The sequence below is a fragment of the Homo sapiens genome, chromosome 9 (assembly GCF_000001405.40).
Source record: "Homo sapiens chromosome 9, GRCh38.p14 Primary Assembly".
Lineage (NCBI taxonomy): Eukaryota > Metazoa > Chordata > Mammalia > Primates > Hominidae > Homo > Homo sapiens.
The window spans coordinates 17,001,983-17,027,390 of record NC_000009.12 but is presented as its reverse complement, the minus strand read 5'-3'; the positions used below and the strand labels follow the sequence as shown (position 1 = coordinate 17,027,390).

The following is a 25,408-nucleotide window of genomic DNA, read 5'->3' as shown; positions in this document are numbered from 1 at the left end:
AGATCGCACCATTGCACTCCAGCCTGGGCAACAAGAGCAAAACTCCATCTCAAAAAAAAAAAAAAAAAAAAAAAGAATTTTAAAAATTCATTGCTAGTTACACAATTTTTCTTTTTCTTACTTCCCACAAAAAAAGATGTTGGTAGCTGCCAGAGGCTGGGGAGGGGAGTGGAGCTGTTTGGTGGATATAGAATTTCAGTCCCACAGGATGGGGGGCTTTGGGGATCTGTTATACAATACAGTGCATGAGGTTGACTATTGTACTGTACACTTGGAAATTGTTGGGAGGATGAATTTTATGTTATGTATTTTATGCCTCAATAAAAATAATGGAAGGGCAAGATAAACTTCAGGGAAAAAGGATAAATATCAACAAATTTAAAGAAATGGCAACACTGTGCACTATTTTTGCATATTTCTGATAGGTGTTTGATTCTCTCTCCAAAGTGGAGTGGGAAACGGGGAAAGAGAAGAGAGGACCTGGGTGGTCATAAGTAACTTTGTTATGTTGTTGGAAAAACTGGAACTACCTGGGACACCAGAAACACTGTGATAATATAATTCCAAAATTATCTTTTAGAATCTACCAGAAATCCTTGATTAGACACAATATCCCAGAATTAGATAATATCAAGACATTATAATTTCAAAAAACTTTCTTTTACTATAGCCCTTGTTCAGAAAATCCTTCTGGTGAGCATGCCCACATTTTCTTGCCATAGGAAGTGACAGGCAGTTCTGAAGGAGCCTCACTGAGGGCCTCCTGGCCACTCCCTGCCCCACGCTGTCACAGCCTACCCTGGGGAAACACTTTTTGTGAAGCCATCCTTCCTATGTCTGTCCACGATGACACCTCCAGACTTGGAATAAAAGACAAAAGGTGCCTTTCACTCTTCTCTCTGGTGAGCCAAGGTCCTTTGGTGGATTATTTCACATCAAGTCTCTCATTCGAGTCACATTAAAGAGATCAGAGTATGAAGAAAATCCCACATCTGTGAACCGTTTGAAGTAATTTCCTTGTTTTTCCTATGATTAGAGCACCAGACTATACAAATCAATCTGAACTCAAAATCCTGATTATTTTCATTTTATATTTTCAATTTATTATTTTTGAGCCATGTGCCCTTTAAGAATTTTGGCTGAACAGCTCCCATTCTCACACTAATTCACTTTTACCAGAAATATCTACTCAACACTTACTATGTTCCAGGCACTGTTCTAACCACTGGTAATATAATAATTGACAATACAGACATGATCCCTTCCTCTTGAGGTTTTCCACTTAGAAAATAAAAATTGACAGAAAGTGAAAAATAGTAACAGACTATAAACTTTTGAAGCAAACACAGTTATCACACAGTGCAAATGATGGAAGATGGAAGTACACGAAGCCTAAGAGATTTTTTTACTGTAAGTTTCTCATGGTTAGTATAGAAATATAACACTAAATTTCCTAATTTTAAATATGGACACCAGTGTTTCAAAAGCTCTAAATCAACTACTAACATTACAAACAGTCCAAGTTATGGTCTAAATTTCCTAACCTAATATTGGTGTTTGGGGTTTTAATTTTCTGAACCAATTTTTTATATAAAAGCAAACACAGGATGAATTTGTGTACAAATGAGATCGGGGTTAATACAAAAATATAGTAGAGATCTTATAAATATTAGATTATATACTGATGTAAAAACTTAGTATACCAGAAGGGTAAAAATTTAAAATGTTATTAATGAATTTTAAAATCTACATAATAAAAAATCATACCCCATTGCACACAAGGATAAATTGACTAATTCCTTCCATCTTGAGGTATGAGCATTGCATTACTGACCATTTTAAAATAAGAATTCATGCCTTACATAATTGAAACCTGATCTTTTTTCTTCTTCTCAGGCACTGTACCTACTTACAGATGTCCTTTGTGTGGCAATAATATTTATATTAGTTGAGACAGACTACACCATAGTTTTCAAATGAATTTTCTTTTTGCTTTGGGAGTTGTCCATGTTGGTTTTGAGAAACTCCCTATTTTTGAAGGTCAAGGAGTTAAAAAACACTAAGGCAAAATAAAAATGTTGAATGGTTTTCTGTGTTATTCTAATTATTCTTACCTTGGAAAAAGTGACATTGTAAGATAATATTTATCAACCAGTCTTCTTGAGAGTTAATGATAATTATTACAACAATTGACACTTATTACATGCTAAACATGTGCCCAGTACTCTTTTATGAGCTTTGGGTGCATGGTCACATTTATCCTCCTAATAGTCTAAAAGGAAGGTAATCATATAATCCCCATTTCACAGATGAGTAACCCGAGACAAAGAAAGGTAAAATAAATTTCCCAAGGACATTGATTAGTAAGGAGTAAAGCTATAATATGAAACCAGGCAATTTGACACCAACGTCTACACTCTTTCCTCCTTTTCTAATCAACATGGAGAAAAGTGCACAAATCATAAGTGTGGGGCTAAGTTAATTTTCATAAATTTCATAAAGTAAGCCCACTTGGCACCCAGATCAAGAAATGGAGCATGACAGCCCCCAGAACCTCCATTTGTGCCCCTGCTAGTTTTTATCCCCTCCCAGAAAAAAAGTCCTATCCTGACTCCTAACACCACAGGTTAATTTCATTTTTTTAATAAATTGAATTATACAGTATTTTTTCTTTTGGGTCTGGCTTCTTTTACTCAACATTATGATTATAAAAGTTAACCTGCCATGTGTAAAGAATTAGCCATGTTATTGTTAGTGTTGTATAGTATTGTAATATATGACTAGACTACAGTTCATTCTACTGTTGAGGTAAATTTGAGTAGCTTCCAGTTTGGGGCTATGAAAAATAATTCTACCATAAAGATTCTTATTCATGTATTTTGGTGCACATATGTACATTTCTCTGTTGAGCATATTACATATGTCTCAAAGTATAATTGCTGGGTCATAGGGCATGTGTATGTTCATGTTATTAGAAAACATCAAATTGTTTTCAAAGTGTTTATACAAATTTACACTTTGACTAGCAGCATATGAGAGGTCCAGTTATTTCACATCCTCGCCAACACTTGGTATTGTTTGCCTTTTTATTTTTGGCCTTTCTGCTGGATGCATAATAATATTGTGATTTAGATTTACATCTCTCTGATAACCAGCAACGTTAAGAAAATCACTTTCTTTTGTTTTTAAGACAGGGTCTCACTCTGTCACCAGGGCTAAATGCAGTGGTGCAATCATGGCTCACTGCAGCCTTGACCTCCCAGGCACAAGCAATCCTCCCACCTCAGCCTCCCAGACACAAGCAATCCTCCCACCTCAGCCTCCCAAGGAGCTGACCTCCCAGGCACAAGCAATCCTCCCACCTTACCAACCTACAGGCATGCACCACCATGCCCAGCTAATTTTTGTGTTTTTTTTGTGGAGACAGGGTCTCACTGTGTTGCCCAGGCTGGTCTCGAACTCCTAGACACAAGTGATCCTCCCGCCCTCGGCCTCCCAAAATGCTGGGATTATAGGCATGAGCCACCGCACTGGGCCTTGTTTTAATCTTTTGCCCATTTTTCTTTCTGTTTTTTTTTTTTTTCTTTTGAGACGGAGTCTCGCTCTGTCACCCAGGCTGAAGTGCAATGGCATGATCTCGGCTCACTGCAAGCTCCACCTCCTGGGTTCACGCCATTCTCCCACCTCAGCCTCTCGAGTAGCTGGGACTACAGGCACCCACTGCTACACCCATCTAATTTTGTTTTTGTATATTTAGTAGAGACGGGGTTTCACTGTGCTAGCCAGGATGGTCTCGATCTCCTGACCTCGTGATCTGCCCACCTCGGCCTCCCAAAGTGCTGGGATTACAGGCGTGAGCCACTGTGCCCAGCCTCTTTTGCCCATTTTTCTACTGGGTTGTTCATCTTTTGCTGAGTTTTAAAAGTCTTTATATATCCTAAATAAATCGTTTGTCACAAATCCTTTATTAGAAAATATGTATCCTGGCTGGGCATGGTGGCTCATGCCTGTAATCCCAGCACTTTGGGAGGCTGAGGCAGATGGATCACCTGAGGTCAGGAGTTCAAGACCAGCCTGGCCAACATGGTGAAACTCCGTCTCTACTAAAAATACAAAAAATTAGCTGGGCATGGTGGTGCGCACCTGTAATCCCAGCTACTCAGGAGGCTGACGCAGGAGAATCGCTTGAACTCGGGCGGCAGAGTTTGCAGTGAGCTGAGATCACACCACTGCACTCCAGCCTAGGCAACAAGAGCGAAACTCCATCTCAAAAAAAAAAAAAAAAAAAGAAAATATATATCTCAAATAATCCTTTGCCGTAATTATCATTTATTACTCTCTTTTGCCTTTTCGCTTCTGTAAAGGTGTCCTGATGAACAAAAGTGATTATATTCTTAACTACCACACTACGCTGTTTCAATCCTGGAAAATGATCATAATTTTTAGTGTCATTATAATAATGGATATCTTAGGAAACCTATTTAATTGACATTTCAAAGTTGTGTTTATCCAGAGTGGCCTAATAAGCTATGATTGATTATCTATAACTGAACAGCTTGTCTTTAATGATCAAACTGAATTTTATATCACATAGTTTATGAACAATTCTGGTTTTTTTTTCTTCATGATAAAGATACAAACATAATCTCACCTAGGAAAACCTTTCCTCAAGAATCATGCTGTTCCAATGACCCCTTTATGAAGAAAAAATAGAGATGAAATTTTTTAATAAAAAAATTTAAATTACTTTTCAAATGAGTTTCACCACGACTTTTTTGGCAGGTAGATAAGCAAATTGAGTAGTTTTCTAAATCAACCTGCTGATAACGGTCCCTTAGACAATATAATTGGTCCGGCTAATTGTGTTCTCATATTGTTCAAATGGCTTATTCCTGATATTTTCTACCTGGAAATAAATGGCTTAACTTCATTTTTTGGGTTTGAGCAATGAGGCATCTATGTTCCCCACGTTTGCTTGGTTTTACGTTTTTTAAAACTTTTATTCCTCTGGGTGTTTGTTTCCTAAAGCTTCTAGAAGAAGTGTCATATTTCAGTTGATTCATTTGACAGTAGAGATGGTAACACACATAAAAATTTATTTCCAAAAATGTGATTTGTTAAAGCAAGTGACACTTATTGAAAATTGGAAATAATGGCATATTTGGAAACGTGTCTTCCTTATGTTTTCTGGTTCAGTGGGCTCCATGTTCTTATCTAGAATTGCTTTATAGAGTGGAGCTCCTTTAATTATTACAGCAATGCTCATTTTCTGCTTGTACTTGTCAAGCAGATGCTACCTCCCATAATAGATAAACTCTGAAATCTCAATGGCTTAACACAACAGAAGTTTATGTTGGTAGTTTTACATGTTTGAATGGATAGGGGATTCTTTCTGTTCCACAGAATCCATCAAAGACTTGAGTTTTATAGAATCTTTGCTGCCTTTAACAGATGATATCTGAAGTTGCCCGAATCTAGTCAGCAGATGGAGTAGAGAAACAGTGGAGAAGCCAGTGGGAGATTTTATGGGTCAGGCCCAAGAGATGTAATTCATTTCCACCTACATTCCATTGGCCTGAACTTACTCTCATAGCTCCACCTATGAGCAAGAAAGGCTGGGAAATTAGGTTCCTGTAATAATTCTGTACCATGGATACCATGGACAGGGAGCCTGAACATTTAATGTATAGCTAGTCATTCACCATTTTCACCATTACCAGGCAATACAGAAAGTTAGGACTAGAAGGCAAAAAGGAGCATTTTGTGGAGTTGAAACTCTGCCATTACAAAGGGATTCAGCCTTCTGATGCAATGCCTTGCAATCCCCTCTGTCTAAACCCTACCATGGCTTGTTTGTTCCTGTCAGGTTTTAATCTCAGACATCTAATGAATTTCACTTCCTGAATTTACTTAACCAGAGATTCCTACCTACTATTTTCCCCAGGAACAGCCCCTGGTCATGTCTTCTGGTCACTTCCATTCCAGGACAGGTATCCACCTCTCTTCCAGCTTTCCGATTCACCCCCGTTCTTGTCCCCCAAACACTGACAATCCCCATCAGCCAATCCTGCACTGTGGCCCAGATGGGGCAATACGTTTCACTGGGCCCATTACATTTCTCTCTTGCTAATGTACCAGTTCTAGTTCACTTTATTTTCCAGACAGCAGTTCAGAAGAGTAGAGTTTCTCTTTAAGCAGCTAATGAAGGCTTAGCACTTTAGACATAATTTTTCCCTTAAAATAATATCTCAGCCAACTTATAATAGACATTTTTGCCTTTAGCAATATTTTTCAAGGGCTGATTCCTAAACCAACATTACAGAAGAGTCTCTAATTTTACCTTACCTTTAGCAGGCAGTTCTTTCAGTTAACTGGGATGACGAGAATCTAAAATAACTCTAGGTTGGGCTATGTGGCTCACACCTGTAATCCCAGCCCTTTGGGAGGTGGAGGTGGGTGGATCGCTTAAGCCCAGGAGTTTGAGATTAGCCTGGACAACATGGCAAAACCCTGTATTCACACACAAAAATACATTAGCTGGGTGTGGTGGTGTGCACCTGTAGTCCTAGATATTCGGGAGACTGAGGTGGAAGGATCACTTGAGCCAGGGAGGTCAAGGCTGCAGTGAGCTATCATTGCGCTACTGCACTCCAGCCTGGGTGACAGAGTGAGACACTGTCTCAAAAATAAATAAATTAATTAATTAAAAATAAAATAACTCTAAGCAGTATCATATGCTACATTAGGCAGATTCACCTGTATCACCAACCTTGTGTCCAGTCTAACTAACTACATCCATATACTGCTCTCACTTGGAAGCCACGGATTTTCACATCTAGAGACTTAACTTTTGCCTCAGCGATAAATGTATAAAGTGTAACTCTAAAGCAAGGGTCAATAATCTACAGGCCATGCCCAAATCAAGCCTGCTGCCTTTGTGCATAAATAAAGTTTTATTGGAACACAGCCATGCCCGTTTATGTATGGATTGTATGTAGCTGCTATAGCTTTACAATGGCAGAGTTGAGGGGTTGCAACAGAGACTGTGTGAGTCTCAAGGCTTAAAATACTCACTATCTGGCTCTTTACAGAAAAAGTTTGTTGATTCTTGCTCTAAAGCAGAGAGACAGCTTCCTATGGAGGTGATATCTGAAAAGGATTTTGAAAAATAAGAAACATTTTACTCATAAGGGTTAGGGAAGATGCAAAGAAAATGTTTTTATTAAAAAGAATAAACATTTGAAACATAGTGATATGTGTGAGAACAACAGTCTGCTGTGTTTTCCCAGAGTATAAAACCCAAGAAGAAGATTGATGAGAGATGAACAGCACAGACAGACAGGGAGAGGCCACATCAAAAAGACCTGTATATACTTCATGCTAAGCAAGATGGATCCCCCACCCCCCACCATAGTTCAGTATTTCTCAGAGTATTTCCAATCAATGTTAATAAAGTTTATGGGAAAAAAAGAAAAAGAAAAGGTGCCCCATGGTTAAAACTGCCTGCAAAGTATTGGGTTTTAATTACTTTCAACAAATTGTTGAAACATTTATCATTCAATAAGTTGTTGTGGGACTTCTCAGAGACTTTAAAATGCATATCTCCATTGGAAACCTCTAAGAAAAGGAATGCAACCTGTAGAGTTCCCAACTTATCTGACTACACATCCTTCTTTGGCTAATTACTTCACATGCTTTTCACAGAACTTGTATTCACTAAAGCACTTTGGGAAATTATGATAATAGTCAGCCAGTGGAAAGATTTAGACAGAGAGATATGACCAGACTTGTGTTTTAGAAGAATGGCTTTGGCAGCTGTATGAGCAAAGGGCTTTCAGGAAGGAAGAACAAATGCAGGGAGACAAGGTAAGAAGCTGCTGCAATAGTCCAGGTAAGAGGTTATGGAGAATAATGTATCATTTCCCAAAACTTATTTGCATAGCATATTTGTTGTTAAAAAAAAAAAAAGTAATAGACTTATCTTATCTAAGAGGCTTCCTAGCTGGAGTGAAAGTTGCCTCTGGATCAAGATCTTCCTGTTTGGAAGAACCACCAAAGTCTGCAGCTTAGCTTGCCTTGGGTCTCACTCCCAGCCACTCCCTAAATCTGGACTTGACATCAGTTTCCAGCTTTTAGTTCTTGCCGATCACCTGGTTTATCAAAGCTTGCAGGGTCTGTGACTTGCCGCTTTGTTTTTCTATTACAGCATTTATAGCTTCCTGGAGTCTGCTTTGAGCAACTGCTTTCCCTTGCCTTACCTTCCAATACTCAAGCTCTTCAGCAACCTCACTGAGGCTGCCTGCCTGCAGGTTGGTTCATTAAGGTGATTTTGTACACCTAACCACTTTCTGAGTTTCATACCCCTGTTTGCTGAGAACGGTGACCCACTGGCCCATGCTGGGGCTCCCCTCTGATTTCCCCGACCGGAGCACTTCCTTAGACCTGTCTGCTCTCCTTTTTCTAGCTTCTACACCAGGTTTTACCATGTGTAAAATTCCACCTCCTAATAACTGGCTGCTCCTTTCTGCCTGGAACCTCTCATGTTGCTGCAACTGTGACTGAGCCAAAAATTTGACAACAAAGACAAAAATCAAACTCTACCTGATTCTTTTTTTCAGGGGATTTCCAAGACTTCTTTATGCCTCCTCAGGCTTCCTCTGGGCTGAGTGATTCAGCTTTTCTCTAAACTTTTGCCCAAGAATAGATTTAGAGATCAACCATCCTGAGGATGACTGCACCCACACTTAACTCTCTCCTTCTCTCTACCCACCTTTAAGGGATGCTACAGAAAGTATGATTTAAGGTATCTCACAGAACCAGGCCAGGCCAGAATCTGATTCTCCTCCAGTCATGGTCATTATGGCTCCTGTTTCATTTCCGTCATGTGGCTTAAAGGCACTCCCCATCACAGGGCCATTCAGCCTTGTCCATTTAACCTTGTTATTCCATGCAGAGCACATGCTGTCCCAGGAGAGGTCCAGTTGGGAGGGGCTGGAGAGGTGCTAAGCCAAGAGGATCCAGGGAGAGCAGAGGCAGCTCAACAAGAAGGGGTGTTAAGGGCCTTGCTCAGAAGAAGGCTGGCTCCGAGGAGCACAGAGCGGTTTGGCTGGAAGGTAATGAACACTCTTTGTCCGGCAGCGTCTCCCAGATCCCGCTGCTGGGCTCTGCAGAGCTGGAGCTGGTATGTTTCAGCCGCATGCCCTCCTCACTACCCCTGCAGTCCCTGGCTGTGGTCTGGTCCTTTGCCGGGCCAAACTATGTGATCTCTTTTGGTGAGCTGGCAGCCACACGCTATGAGCTGGACTGAACAGTATATGTCCCTGTTCCCTTGACTCATTATTTTACAACTAAACAATCAGCACATTTCTGTGAAAGCCGGTCTCCTCTTCTGAATTCTGAACCGCTATTCATTCAGGAACACATTTTAAGCTTTTTCATCCTAATGAATGTCAGATTACACGTTCAGGAAAAGAAAAAGGATGGCTCTGTAAAGGAACCGTTAGTTACGTCTAAGTGATAAAAGATGTGAATGCACTCTCAAAGTACTTATTCTTAATTATTCCACTTCTGAGAGACTTATTTGACTGACCCAAGCCAGCTCTAGAAACATTTGAAGCCTCATGTTTCCGTCTGGCCTGGAGGACGCTGAGCTTACAGAATTCCAAGCCAACGCAGAGACTTTTCTTTAGAATTGAGATGAGGAGCGTGGTGTTTATTTATTTATTTTTTTTTTCGTTTTTGGGTATTTTGTTTTTTTTTTCCTACAGACTTGTGTTTCAGGAAAAAATAATCAGTGTCAGGCAATTGTTTTCAGGGAGTGTGGTCTTCTGTTTATGTTTTTAAAACTTCAGGTAAGAAGAGTAGACCAATCTCTGAAAAGGAAATCATGGTTGATAGAAACCACGTTGAAGGGAAGGGCTACTCTGTTTCTCTGAGTTCTTCTGACAGGTCTCACTTACTAGTCTCATGTATGTATGTACATCTGACATGAGTATAGGTAGAAAAATGCAGTAAATACATCCTCCTAAAGTTCTGACCAACCTGGAAACAACATTTTCCTCCTTATCAGTCTTTCACCTAAAAATTTATTGTATTGTAGAAGACGTGAATCAGATCAAACTCATGATTTTTGAGTTTCAAAAATTTGTGAGTGGGTTTTTAAGTTTTACATTATTTCAAGCAGGGTAGAAATCAGAATTTCCAAGGTCAAGGTTTAAAAAATACCATGAAAACTTCGGGTAAGAAGAGTAGGCTAATCTCTAAAAAGGAAATCACAGTTGATAGAAAACCATGTTAAAGTTTAATTCTCTAAAGTTCCTTTCAAGATGGGACATTTAGGTAACATTTATACTGCATTTTGGCAGGTTCTGGGATACTTGTATGTATGTACTCAAACTAATAATAATGATTTTTCGAAAGAGGGAGGGAGGGAGGCAGGCAGGGCAGGCAGGCAAGACACCTAAGTATAAAGGGGTCCCTGGAGAACCTCCAACCGGCCTGTGCATGGGAAGAACAGGGTGGAGCCATGGAAGTTCATGCTGTTTGCAGGGGGAAGGAGCCTGGTCCCTCCTGTTCCTGTGTGGGAACCTGGGATTCAATCTGTGAGATGATGTCCTGTTAACAGGAACCCCTCTCTCACTTTGCTGCATGCTTTTCCTTTTTCCTTTTTGCCCAATAAATTCCATCCCCCTCACCCTTCAAAGCGTTTGTGAGCCTAATCTTTGCTGGTTGTGTGACAAGAACCCAGATTTTCCTACAACAAAGGGAGGGAGGGAAGGAAAGGATGAGAAACTTCGCAGGGAAAGTGGGATAAGCAGCCAGAAAAGGATTTTTAAAATAATACTCATGGTTCTCCATTCCCCAAGTCTCTAAGCCGAATGATGGATAATGAGAGCAAAGGAGGAAGGACGTTCAGAAGGTGATCATTGATCTCCCAGAGAGTAAAGAATTCAAATATTGTTTCTTTTCCTCGCCTCATTCTTGCCTGGTATCTCCGGGATTTGTAGTTGAATGAAGAAAGGATTTTATCCAGTTATTTCTTAAACTTCCCAGGAAACATATAAAAGTTGGCATACTGTAGACTCCCACGTTCAAATAAGTAATTCTTACTTTGCCAGTCACCTAGGAAAGAATGTCACTCGCCACTACCCCCTCCTAGGCCACATCCATATTCCAAGCCATTGACTCTTCTTTTCACTTGTTCCCTGTTTCAGACTCATCCTTCCAGAGGGTTTATAGCAGTGGATGTCTTCCAACCTTCTCTTAGTATCGTTTATAAACTCAAAATCTTTCTTATCTTCTTATCTTGAAAAATATACTTAGCAGTAAAGTGGTTGCTCAGTATTTTTTTCTATCCAGATTTCCTCATTTCCAAACTCAAGATATTGTGATCACTTCCTAGTATTATTTGACATTTTATTGAAAATTTTCCTTTCAATAAACACTGGGCAATTATAATAATGTTTATCACTGGGAAAATATGATGTGCCCCTGCTGCCTCCTTAATTTAATTTGATGTGATTTAGATGGGAGCATGCTGCATGGATGCTTCGATGTAGTGGACTAGAAAAACAGTAAATAATGGAATTAGGGAAACTATTGGGTTTGTCATTTCAATCTCCCCTGGATACTCAAAAACCTCTGTGGAATAAGAAAATTAACACTCTTGTACTTTGTCCACTGAAATCTAGCAGTATCTTCCAATGGAATGCGATAATCCAAGTACAAAACCTGTCTTAGAGAGTTTCATCTATATTGTTATTTTTACATGATTCCAGGTTGAACAGAATAATGGTCATCCATGCCATTTTTTCCCTGTATCAAAGACCTAAACATATGTTTTATTTTATTTTGTCCCTATGAGTCCTAGTCCTTAAAAAAAAAAAAAAAGGCAAAAAAGTTCAAATTAACAATCCCCTTTTATGGGTTCTGGAAAAATCGGGCACCACACATGTAAGGCAAATAATTAAAATTGCTAATCTACACAAAGCCACACTGTACATTACAAATATTAACAGAAAACCATTCACCTACATAATACATGAATGTGTTAAGTGTATGTGTATGTGTGAATATAAATGTGTAGCACCACAAAAAAAAAATCTTTAAAAGGAGAATAATTATAACAATATACTGGAACTCTTTGAAATTTTTTCTGCAAGAATTCTTTTATAAAAATTCTACAAAAAGTTTTTAAAGTAGCCACTTAGAGTACACAGACACTAAATTTGTTGATCTGCAAGGCTCATTTGAAGGACATTTTAAAGAGCGACCATTCTATAGAAGGAAAATGTGGGCAGTGCCCTTTCTAATGGTCCGCAGTGATAACGCTCTTTCCATGGTTAAGGAGTTTTTACAAATATTAACTGACTAATCTTCACAACCATTCTGTAGGAGGCAAATATTATTAATGGTTTCATTTTACCAATGGGGAACATGAGTCCAGGAGAGATTAAGTGACCTGCCGAACACCATAACAAGATAAAGTGCTAGAAAGAGGGTTAGGACACTGAAGATTCTGAATTTTAGTCTTCATTGTAAATCACAGAAGCAAGATAAAATACATGATACCATATTTTTTGACAAATAGGATCTCATGAACCTGAAACTTGTAATGTGAGCAATTTTGAAATTGCCAGTAATAAATGTATATTTTAAATAAATCACATAATTTATCTCAAGTGTCTGCTGAAAATAAATCTCCTATTTAGTAAAAAATATATAATACAAAAATCAGAAATTAATATATGCCTAACACAATCAATTCTTATCATGCTGGGTATGGTGATAACTCTGAATAGGCACAACCTATTATTGCCTCCTATGTAATAAGCTGATGACATCCACAATTTTCAGGGATAAGATCCTGTCAGGCCATGTCCATTATAAGCTACAGATACCTGTATCATGAGTGATCTCAAACTTCCAACTTAGTCTGGCCTGACTGGCTTTCCTTCATTTATTACTCCTCTTAGCCTGAGTCAGCTAAACTAAGCTGAGCAAAGAAGAAAATGAATAAAAAGGAGGGTAGGAGAGAGGAATAAGGAGATACAGGGTGAGAGGGAGAGAGATTTTTGAGATGATTGAGGCTGGTCAATATTTTGAAATATTATTTTATACATCTATCTGGGCTCTCCAGAGAAAGAGAACCCATAGGAATATATACATACCTACGGAGAGAGAGAGGCCAAGAAGTCCCACTTTCTGCAATGGGCAAGCTGGAGACCTAGCAGAGCCAATGGTACAGTTCCAGTCCAAGTCCAAAGGCCTGAGAACCAGGAAAGCCAATGACTCAAGCTCCAGTCAAAGTCTGAATGCAAGGGCAGGAGAAGATGGTAACGCAGAGCACATTTTCTCTTACTCCACCTTTGTACTCTATTCAGGCCTTCAGTGGATTGGATGCAGCCTACCCACACTTGGGGAGGGCAATCTGCTTTACTCAGTCGACTGCTGCAAATGTTAACCTCACCCTGAAGCACCTTTAGACATACCCAGAATAATGTTTAACTGAATATTTGGGCATCCCATGGCCTAGTCAAGTTGACATATAAAATTAACTATCACAGTATCACTCTTCAAATTTTCCTCCTACCCCTGGCCTTTCTCCCACTCAGGCAGCATTAGGCACCAAAGGAAAAAAGAGCTAATATTCAGCTTTTCAGGTTTATGGATTTATTTTACAAATGCAGCTAATAATATGCAATGTTGATTGTGGGTAGGCACTGTTCTAAGTGCTTTATAAATATAGACTCATTAATTCCCATAACAGCTCCATGAGGTAAGCACTATTATCATCACCCCTGTTTTACAGATGAAGAAACCAAGGCACAGACTCATGTCCAGGACCCTAAAACCAGTGCATGGTGGAGCCAGCATTCAAACCCAGCACACGGGACGCCAGAGTCCATGCTCCTAACCACTACATTGTGATGCCTTGAAACTCATGGCAGAGAAGAGTTTGAGAGAAAGGTTTCAGAAAGACAAAAGTAGAAATCCTGAAAGACTCTGAGCATAAAGTTAATGCTGCAGCAATAGATTTAGAAAAATGATGCATGATGATCTAAGTGGAAGGTGTGACATACCCCCAAAGAAATGCTGAATTCCCCAGGTAGGGTGGGGATCCAAACAAAGGGAGACTTGTGCCTCATTTCCTTAGTGGAACCGAAGGAGCAACAAGCCTCCCCTTGCTCTCTCTCTATACCTCCACCAGTCACAGGCAGAGAAAGTAAAGGTGGGGCCTGCTGAGCACGTCAGAGCAGAATGGGCATGGCATAGCTCCGTCAAGTCTCCCAGAGCTCCAGAGCAGCACAAAAAGGCATCCAAATATTTCCTGTGCTTCCCTGTCCTCTCACCTCAAGAGGGATGCAAAAGACAAGGCTGGAGTGACCTCAAGCAGTCTAGCAGTCTTGAAAGTTGTATGAACTGGAAACACAAGTCCAGAGGAGAACAAGGCCATCTTGAGGATACCAGCAAGGATAGATCACTATGCCCGGAAGCCAATAGGAGCCATCACAAATAAACAAGAATTTCTGAGGACAAAGGTCCCCCTCTTGATAGACATCAAAGTATGATGACTTAAGGCCCCAGAACTTAGAGGCAACTCAGGGAGAAAATGGTGGGGGAAAAAAAACTCCGGAACAGACTTAATAAATAATTGACCAAAGGTAGCCTGAGTTGAATATGATTGAAATTAAGTTCAGTTACAGAATAATGTTATATTTGTTTTTTGCACAGAGGATTTTGCAGCCTGAGACTTTTACCTGCTTGGCTATAAAGAAATAAAACTTGTTTACCTTTGCAAACAGTACTCTCTCTCTCTCTATGAAAGCCAAAAGAATAACTCCAAAAATGTTTTGAGAAATAAGATCATTATTGAACTAAGTATATGACTTCCCAAAGAGACTACTTTCCAGAGTAACACTCCTTTCTGTAAGTGTCCATTCTGTTCCATTTCTTGAAAACATTAGTCTCACTAGTTCAAACTGGTATTCATACTACAGACCTGGTCCTTAAAATGACTGAAAGTAGTTTAGCAATGGTTGCTGTCCATTATTAATTCAGATAAAGTTACAAGATTTGAGGCTAAGATGGAAAAGATTTAAGATTTTGTGAAGTCAGGATCTAATTTAGCTTTGAGTTTGGCTACTACTCAAGCCAAAGCTTTGAAGCTTTTCTACATGGTGAAACAACATTGTGATGTAGGATCAAAGGCTGAAAAGTTCAATGCAAATAAGGCTTGGTTCATGCATTTTAAAGGTAGTGATGCCTTATATAACATCAGGGTGCAAGATGAAGCAGCAGGTGCTGAGGTGGCAGTTCCAGAGAGCAGAAAGACTTTGTTTCTTGAAGGCAGTAAAAGGACTGACACTTTGTCCCCTAAGGCCCATCCTAGCCACAGGGACATTTGTGATAGTAACAAGAAGGCAACAAAACTGAAAATTTATCAAATTTGATAAATTTTCCTGAAAATTTATCAAATGATCCTGGGTCTCTCAAAAATATTCTCAAAATTGCTTGCGATCAAGGAAAGATTTTTTTTCTCAAATCCTTACTCTGATTAGATGTTTTCTTAACTCCCAATTTGTTAAAGGTATTCTAAAATAAATTTTACCTGAGATCATTTCTTTAAGAAGCTGGGCTTCAGGTTCTCAACCAGTATAACATGGCTGTGCTATTGATTCAATATGAAAAAAAAAAATCAGAATGGTTTGATTTAAATAATTTTTCTTACAGGAACTTCTAGCAGAAATATAACTCTCCATAAGTGTAAGGAATATCTCTAGTGCTGTCATATGAAAACTCAATTAAAAGATCAATTTTTTGGAAATACATATTTTCTGGAAAACCTAATTATTAAAACAGGTGCCATGAACCAGATATAATTGTGGATGTTTAAAGTTCTACAAATTGAATGAATTTGCCTTTGAAAAATCTGGATATTCAACATGATTTCAAACAGACTTATTAAAGAAAATATCAAGACGCCCTCTTTAATACCTTCCCTATTATACCTTTCCTAAGAAATATCTGTGAGTTACTGAAGTTCTGTCAGCCTTCAATTTGATTTTATTAGCATTTGTTGCTTTAAATCAGACCTTTCACATTATTTATACAGGTTTTTTTTAATTCAATATTCAAAATGATAGAACATATACATTGAACCACAGATAGGGACATAATTCATTGCAGTATGAAACATGCCTTATAACACTTAAGTGGTTTATTAAACTTGTCTGCTCTTATATTGGATAAATTCTATCCTTGACATCAAGATGTGTGTGTGAAACATTTATCATGTTTAGAATTCCTCTAAGTTACATAAACTACTTCATCAGGGAATTGCTAAGAGTATCATCCAGAAGTTAAAATACACCAAGTATCCAAATATTTCTCTTAAACATGAGTTAGACCTAGACTACCACGTAGAATTATTTTAGTGGTCTCAGTTCCATCCCCAGTGGACAGTAGTACATAGTAAGGAAAACCACCCCACACAATTTGGCACTGTTTAGAACCCACAGCCTCTGATCAGGAGGAGCCTCCCCATGAGCCCAGGGAGACTGAATGGCCTCTTATTAGAAGGAGCACAGTCTTTCAGGCTAGGCTGAGGTTGGAAACTATGGGAGGATGGTGCTACAGCTCTTGGCTCCCTTTCTGGCTTGGGGAAGGTGGAGGTCTTCTTGGGGCAGAGCTGCCCACTCACATTGCAAATGGAGAGCTGGTTATTGAAGGAGAATGAAATGAAAGAGCTTTTTGTCAGCATAAGGTAAGGAAGTTCATCATTTGGGGGAATACAAATGCCAAACTTCATTTCCGTTTAGATAACACAGACTAGAACTAGAGAAGAAGGAAATAAAACGCTGTAGCCCAGAAAGCTGGAACTCGGTTTAGTTAGAATATTGATAAACATGTGACTAGTTTATCATGTATCGTCTATGGACTCCTACAGAGGTGTTACACTTACTTAGAAGAAACACACACATGCTTCATTTTAATAAAACAAAGAGCTAGGTAGTTGCTACAGAGGAGCTAAAGCTTTTGCCTGAGATTATTAATAAGAAAAAAAGATTTTCTACTGGGAAATAGGATAGTAAAACAGAAAGATATGCGACCTGTCGGATTTGGAACCAATCACACCTGGGTTTGAACTCCAGACTTTGGGCAAGAAACCTGAATCTCAGATTCCTTGATTGTAACATGGGGTCAATGTTACCCAGCTCAAAGGGCTTCTGTGAGATGAAGTAAGTGAATGCATAGGGCCTGACACAGTGCCTGACACAGAGAAATTAATTGAAATATTAGGTCCATTCTCTATACCAGGGCTCAAATTCAGGGCATTGGTAAATTGAAACAGAAAGACTAATATGTTAATATTTTCACTAATCTCTAACTGAAAAGTCACATTTCTTAAATAATACAGGTAAGCAATATTAGCATATGCAGTAGCTGTGATGTTGACACTAAGAGAAATCACAGATATTTTCATAACACAACACAGCTAGTATAGATATTTTAAAAATATTGTTTATACTCATCACTATTTTGAAATTATGGTAGTTATTAGACCTGCTGCTAGATCTTGTTATTCAATGCATTAGTGAGAAAGCACATTACTGTACAAAATTGTTTTTTAACATTTTGATGGCTATATTTTTGTAATTGATTTCCTTTGCAATATTATGTATTTTTAAAATTCTTCATAAACATGCTTTAAACGGGAATTGAAAACATTGAGAAGACTAGAGACTTCAACAAACTGCCAAATGGGTTTGCTCTACCCTCTGCGAGTGGTGTTATATTCAGCTATTACGAAATGGATGAAGGTCCTATTGATTGGGACTGTGAATAGATGGGACCATTTTTCAGATGGGTCTAATTTGGGCTGTTTTCTGCAAATATGATCAATTTCGGACTTGCAGGTGATTTTGGTTCATATTCAGCTGTTGCTCACTTAATGAGATTTTTACTTGAAATGTGGAATGAAAGAGAACACTTTAACATTTTATCTTTTCTTGATCTCAAAAAGTAATATGAAAAACAAGGAGATGTGTCCAGATCCCTGAAAGTCATTTTCATATGCACATGCCCCAAGGATCTTAGAGAGTCATTAGGATTTTATGACACTAAGTTATTGGCTTTATTTGTGGCAAAGGTACTGTGAAATCAGATAAGAATCGGCGGCTTCTAAATCTTGTCTCCCTGCAGTTAAAAATAAAAACAGATTCAACCATCATCTGGTTAATATTTCCTTACATTTCACTAGTTCTGAAACATGCCAAAATATGCCTACTTGCAACAGCTGGAAAATTATACTTCAACTAAAATTATATTTCTTGGCTTCCTATGGAATGCTTTTGCTCTGAGAGCTCAGGAATAATCTAACCAGTGTTTTCTGGTTTTTTTGTTGTTTTGTTTTGTTTTTAATTTGTGACAATAATCCAACCAGAAATGTCACCAGGTTTTGTTATAGGGCAAAATACACTTTATAATATTACTTTTCTTTAATACATACCAGAAGCCTATTTCTTATTCTAATATGTGGGTAAAGTACATTTTTAAAAGATAGCAGCAGAATAATAATAATTTATAATGTGGCATATGTAAGTCTGAATCTTGGTTTTATTTATTTATTTATTTTGGTTTGGTACAATTTAAAGACAGACCTTTTACTCCCTACAAATGAATCAGACAGGATCATATGTGTCAACATTCTCCTTATAGCAGCATTCATTTTAAAGGAAGAGGATAGAATTTGACTAATGTTGAGTGCAAACTATTTTTAAATGGTGCCTATTTACCAAAAATGGTATTTAAAGTGTTGTTGAGATAAATGTGCCACTGACTGCATAGGTGTACTCCTTTGCAAAGTATTTCTCAGGCCGGTATATTTTTTTTTTTAACATAGATGAGCTTTCTCTCATCTCCTTTCTATTATTTTCTAGAATACTTGCTCTGAGTTGTAGGCAAGTAGATTCCCACACAATGTATTTCCTACTCCGGCTTTCAGTGTAGCCTTTTTGTTCAACTTGTTCTAATATTTATTCTATAATTTATTCTAACAAAAATCACTTCATGTTCAAAGAAACATTCTGATAGTCCAGATGGAGTCCTCTTTGTCTGGAATTAGCATAATAGAGGTTGGACAAAAATTTCCTTTCTTAACTGTTCTAACTAACGGAGACCAGAAGTTCTAGAGGTCCAGCTTCTGCAACCATTTGATACTTTTCTCGCCAACTGTAACATGACCAGAAACGATCTATGGAGTTCAATTACTCCTATGCTCTGTGTTCATTCATTGAGTGATTCATTCATTCACTGAACATCAAATAAGCACTTACCACACCTGGATGAACAGACATCGTGACTGTAGCTCCACTTACTGAGGAGACATTCCCTCTTCCTTGTCTTTGAAGAACACCACTGAATGTGGCTATAATGCAGCTACCAATCATTTCTGGTTTGCACCCACATACTGAGTCAGCTCATCTGTAAACCAAACTATGGCTCTCTCCCCCTCCTTCAGCTGGTTATACAGGACCTCTCCCCAACCCGCATACAGCCATAGGTGTGAGTAAGCGAGAGGGTTACTCAAACTGTGGTGAGTGACAAGGGATCTGGGCTACCTGCCTGTGCAGCCCATCCAGGCTATACCATTTCCATCTTAAAATGGACAATTGGCTGCAGCTAGGCCAATCTGACTTCCTGATTTGGTGGGTCTGAGAGAACACAGCCAATATTGGGCAGGTCTCCATGCACAGACAATTGGTATCCTTTGGTCAAGTGTTTCATCTTTACCAGGGCACAGTAACACACCAGGAGATGTTTATCAAAAGGCATATAATTATCTGCTGCTGCAAATGGCATGGCCTTGTTCCAGAATCCCAGGGTCCTGAATTCCAATTCTCCCACTGAGATTTGTCACCACTAAACATTTAGTGATGCTGGTTGCCTCACCAGCTCATTCCTAATGACCTTGGTAAGTGGTGTGTCCTCTGGGTCCTCTTGTTGAGTATAATCCTCCAGGAAGTCTTTTGACCTGGCAAAATATATCCATTCTAGCATGACTAGTTTCTCCAGGCTCTTTATTCCTTCCTGTATCATCTTTTGGCACAATTTAGGCATTTCCTTTCCACTCAGCATTAACCATCACTTTCTCCACACTTTTAGGAGCCATGGTTGCAGTGAATTTGTCTTACTCCCTGGGGTTCACGCCATCATGTTAAATCCTGTGTCCTGAAGTCAATGAATTCATACATACATATTGACTCCCTTGATCAAACGCCTTCAAAATCCAATCCCGAAGATCTTCCCTAGCCATCGGCAGCTAGCTAGGTCATATAGCTTCTTCAGTATAATCTCCTGCCTCCCTTATGAAGTCCAGTTGATGTACTTTTGCAGGCTCCCCATTGAACATAACCCCTTCTTCCTTCCTATATTCTTCTTAATCTCATTTCTATAATTTGTTCTAAAGAAAGAATCTGTTGTTCAATCACACTAGGAGGTGAATTACAACAAAGCAAAAATGAAAATTTAAGCTAATGGAATGAAACCTCTACAACAGAATTTTCTGACATGGTAGCGGTATGAGGGTAGAAACAGACATGTACTTAGAGAGGGAGCAAAACTCTGCTATTGTACCCAATTACTGCCTATTTTACCTATGATAAGGCCCTGCATTCCCACAGTAGGCTGTAAACTCATCAGTCTAATCACATTTTCTGGACTAAGACAGAAACTGTCAAAACAGAAAAGGGATCCTATGGAATACATACCTTCGCAATAAGCAGAGACCCACACTTTTAAAATGCTTATGGAAATGAAGTAAGACCAAGAGCTGTAGGATATCACCCTGAATCTGCTTACCAAGCTCAGTTTTAAACAAGTTCCTTGCCTAGACTGCTATGATCTCTGACCAGTGCCAGGAACAAGAAACCCATAATATATGTCCTCTATTATAGAGTTTACAGTGAAAATGCATGCCCAGACAAAAATTACTATTTATATCTCTATCTGTGCACATCATCTGTTCTGTTGTATTTATTTATGACTCTATTTCTCTCAAAGGCAGAAACTTTTAAGGCAGAAACTTGACTTACTCGTTTCTGCCCTCAGCGTCTAGGCTAGTGTCTGGCATACAAGGGGTGCTTAGCAAGTATTTGTCAAATGAGTAAATGATTGAATGAAAGATTACTATAGAGAAAGATATCTCAGACCAGGTCCCCAGTCCAAAGTACAGTTGTCCAATGTATCAGAACTGTGTAAAGAGTTAATTCAGATTTCTCCTTGGCCCTACCAGACTATATAATTCATTACCCATCTCTCCCCTTCGTTTTCTGCTTGGTAGAATAGGCTTTGGTGTTAGGTAATACATATGTAATAAAAACTCTAATTACCAGTTAGATTCATCTGCTTATTATGATACTAGTCTTTTATTAAAACTAGATTTCGCTCCACCATGCTCTTGGCTATAAAATAGAGCTCTTTTACTTTCTACCAATTCTATTGGCACTCCTTTTTAATTCAAATACTGCTCTGGGATCAACAATGCAATAAGACATAATTATGTTTTAAGATCCATGAATTGGTTGTGAAAATGCAGGTATTTTCTCTCTAGGTAGTTTGCTCCAGGAAATACACTGAGAAGTATATTTTTATCTTGATGTATGGGGATTTACATAGGAACATACCCCTCAGAGTTGGAAGTAGTATTTTGCAGAAATGCTGGAACAAATACCACCCATCACCACTTTATTATGTTCACAATGTACTCCATTATCATCAGTATGTGAGTATAAATCCTCATAAGAAAGCTCCCAGTATTAAAAACCATAATTATAACATGTATTTATTCCAAACATATGTACCACCGTTTCAAACTACCCACCAGCTGAATATATTTTGCAGCTTTCAAAATTTGACTGGTGCGAAGATGGCTTTTATAAATGTGATTTATGACAATTTAGGTGCCGAAAACCATCGTAATTACAAGTACTGTAAATGTTTTCTCTCCGCTTAAGTAGCCTCGCTGAGGAGGACAGCGTTCATTTCCTGTGGGCCGGGCCTTTTGGCTCCAGCCTTCTCTGCAGCCAACAGGCTGCTCTGCTCCCAGCTCTGTTTCACCAGTAAAAGATTAACAAAAACTTTTCAGCGCTCGGTTTTCTTTTCCCTCTGGGGCTATCCATTTTCCCATCTCCAAAGAGGGCAGCCTCTCCTAACATATGTTGGAAATTGTTGTTCAACTTCACAGAGTATACAAACACAAGACTTTTCTCCGTTCATGGTGCCAAGAGCAGACGTTTCAATGGAATATTTCATTATAATGCAGAGCCTATGTGCCAGAAAAGAGGCTTTTCAAATGAACTTCATAAGCTTTTTTGATTTTTTTTTTTTTTTTACCATGTGGTATCTGGGGTTTCTATAAAGCAAAAGAGACTTGACTTTTGGTATAAAAAAGTTTAAACTTTTAACCTACCTGGATTTGAACAGGATAATAAATTGTCGAGTAATGACTCTTTGCCAAATGTTAATAATTTTCATGAAAAGTAAAATCAGAGAGTCGTGGAAAGGCTGTGATACTCTGCACCTTCGTAGCACCTTCCATCTCGTTATTTTAAGGCCTCTCTCTCTCTCTCTCTGAGTGCACCAATGGGCAGTCAAGCCACAACAAAGGTCAAGTGACTCACCCAAGGTTACAAAGAGAATTAGTGGCAGGACGGATGAGATACCCAGGATTCCTAATTCCCAGTTCAGTGTTGTAGTTTAAAAAGCCCCCATATACCCCTCTTGTAAATTATTCTGTCATCAGCACTTTTCTTATTACTCTTTGTTTCTGGCAGTTATAAACTCAGAGGTTTAGAAAATGACTTTGTGACAAAATTTAGCCAACAAAATCTCTAGCTTACTGTCAACTCTTTCCAAAAGACGGTTTGAAAATCTGTAGTTCAGCTACTTTGGGGGTATAGATATGCCCAAATCCAAAGTTCACGCATCTTGGTATGTCTCTGAATTTGAAAGGATGACTACACACGAGATTTATTAAAGTTGTGTGTTAATCACTGAGTTTTGGTTTTATTACTAAATCAACATAAAAGGAGAAGCTGAATTTTAAAAATTTTAAATTCTAATTACTACAAAAATAACTTATGCTTGATTTATATCAACTTTACTCCTAAGTTACAGTATAAATGACTATAAGGAAATTTGCATATAGGCTTTCTGTGGAGACTCACCATATAGCTGAAATTTACAGAACATGACTTGAAATGTGCCGGAGTACCAGGTTTTTCTCTTTAACCAGCTTCCACAGCTCTCATGCCTGCTCAGCCAGCTCTGTGAATCACATCTTGGCTACTAGTGAGGCAACTCATAAGTATTTCTTACAGGCAGAGTGTCTTCACATCCTATTATACTATAGTATTTTACTATACAAATATTTCTTTATATTTACTTAGCTGTCTAAAAGACCATTTCTCTAAAATCAATAGAGAGGCAGGAACAACACATAAAATAACAGCCACTGAAAAAAAGAGCAACCACAACATTTTGTCAAATAGAAAATGAAAACAGAATGTAAGACTACATCCAGCAATTTACAATTCCTTGAAGGAGTGTTACTTGCAATAAGTGATTCATAGATGATGCAAATCACACCCCTTTGGTTTTTGCTGTTGCCTTTATTAAATTTCAGATGTGACAAGCTTTCTGGGTTGAACCCAAACATAAAAGGTCCATGTGGTTCTTTTCCCCCTTCTTCCTTTTTTTTTTTATACTCTCAGAAATTTTAACAATGTATGTACATTGTTTTTACTATAGAATTATCTCTATTTAAAAACATATATTTTTTGAGACGGAGTCTCACTCTGTCACCCAGGCTGGAGTGCAGTGGCATGAGCTCGCCTCACTGCAACCTCCGCCTCCTAGGTTCAAGTGATTCTCCTGCCTCAGCCTCCTGAGTAGATGGGACTACAGGCACGTGCCACCATGCCCAGCTAATAAAGATTGTAATTTTAGTGTAGAGGAGATTGTTGGACTGAAAATGTTTCCAACCAACAAATTCATACTTCTTTCATACATTCTCTTTAGAGAGAACAAATATTAACCATAATTTTTTTTTTGTTTTTTTTTTTTTTTTTTTTTGAGGCAGAGTCTCGCTCTGTCACCCAGCCTGGAGTGTAGTGGCGCAACCTCGGCTCACTGCAACCTCCGCCTCCCAGATTCAAGCAATTCTCCTGCCTCAGCCTCCCGAGTACCTGGGACTACAGGCACGTGCCACCACGCCCGTCTAATTTTTTGTATTTTTAGTAGAGACGGGGTTTCACCGTGTTAGCCAGGATGGTCTCAATCTCCTGACCTCGTGATCCGCCCGCCTCGGCCTCCCAAAGTTTTGGGATTACAGGCGTTAGCCACCGCACCCAGCCATAATTTTTCAGTATTATGTTCAGTAAGCCACAGTGAACATTGACAGGGGCTTACTTCCTTATAGAATATAAGCCCAGTGACTATTCCAGTTCAAACATCACAATTAAGCCATTTCACATTATTTTCTTATGTATTATGCACTTGAATTCCAGTTTCTTTGATTTGTAACAAAGAGTTGAATCATTAAACTTCTTAAAATTACATTTTTCTCCTCGCAAACTTGAGATAGTAATTCTTACAGGCTAAGTACAAGCTTAACACTGTCCAAAGAATTCCACACTGTCTAGGAAAGAGGTCTGAAGTGAATATAAGAGAGGATGTAAATAAACTTAACGGGTTTCATATAAGTAAATATAAGAATAAAAGGGAACATATATTAACTTAAAGAATATTTCCTCCAAAAATCTATAGAGAGGAACAACACAGAAAATAATCACTGAATTAAAAGTGATCACAAGCAAGTTGTCATATAGAAAATTAAAACAGCATGTAGTCTGATTGTAATATGCAATTTGCAATTCCTTAAAATACATATTCACTTTTATATTTACATGCACACACACACACTCACACGTATACACACTAATCTGGAAACACTCTTTCACATTACTATTTAGAAAGCAAATGCTCAAATGTAGGGCCACTATTCACCTAGGGGTAGAAGAACCCCTGAGAAACGCAAAAGAGATCATGCAGTATGTCCTTTTTTTCCCATTTCCACCCTTACTCTCCTCATCAAGTTCATTCCTCTCTGTCAGCCAAATCCTCCCACTGCATTAGGGCTCTGGACACCTCTTCTCCTCATCTTTTCCATCCCCATTTGTCCTCACCTACTCTATCAGGATGATCACAGCACAATCATAGGCAATGCCTGCATGTTAAGCAAGGCATATTTGCTAACAGAAGATACTCCCTGCCTCTCTCCCTACCTCCATGAAATTTGTGAGTTTCTTACTGAGAGTCCCTGGAGTCCCCCTTGTCAACACCTACT

The 25,408-nt window shown here is 38.6% G+C and overlaps 2 long non-coding RNA genes across 4 annotated transcripts in view; one reads left to right on the top strand and one right to left on the bottom strand.

Moving 5' to 3' along the window:
• The window catches only part of LOC105375983 (uncharacterized), a 37,147-nt gene extending 23,828 nt beyond the window's left edge, over positions 1 to 13,319 (bottom strand). For 2 of the 3 annotated variants that reach the window (XR_001746629.2, XR_001746630.2), the window contains exons 1-2: positions 8,602 to 8,993; positions 7,075 to 7,149 (exon numbers count right to left, since the gene is read on the bottom strand). This is a non-coding gene — a long non-coding RNA (uncharacterized LOC105375983). Of the gene's footprint in view, positions 1 to 7,074; positions 7,150 to 8,601; positions 8,994 to 13,169 lie in introns of those variants that run through there. The other variant, XR_001746628.1, reaches the window with a different exon arrangement.
• LOC124902126 (uncharacterized) lies at positions 7,777 to 18,232 on the top strand. The gene is made up of 3 exons (XR_007061426.1): positions 7,777 to 7,866; positions 8,954 to 9,113; positions 13,811 to 18,232. It is a non-coding gene; the product is annotated as an uncharacterized LOC124902126 (long non-coding RNA).
• Positions 18,233 to 25,408: the final 7,176 nt, after the last annotated feature.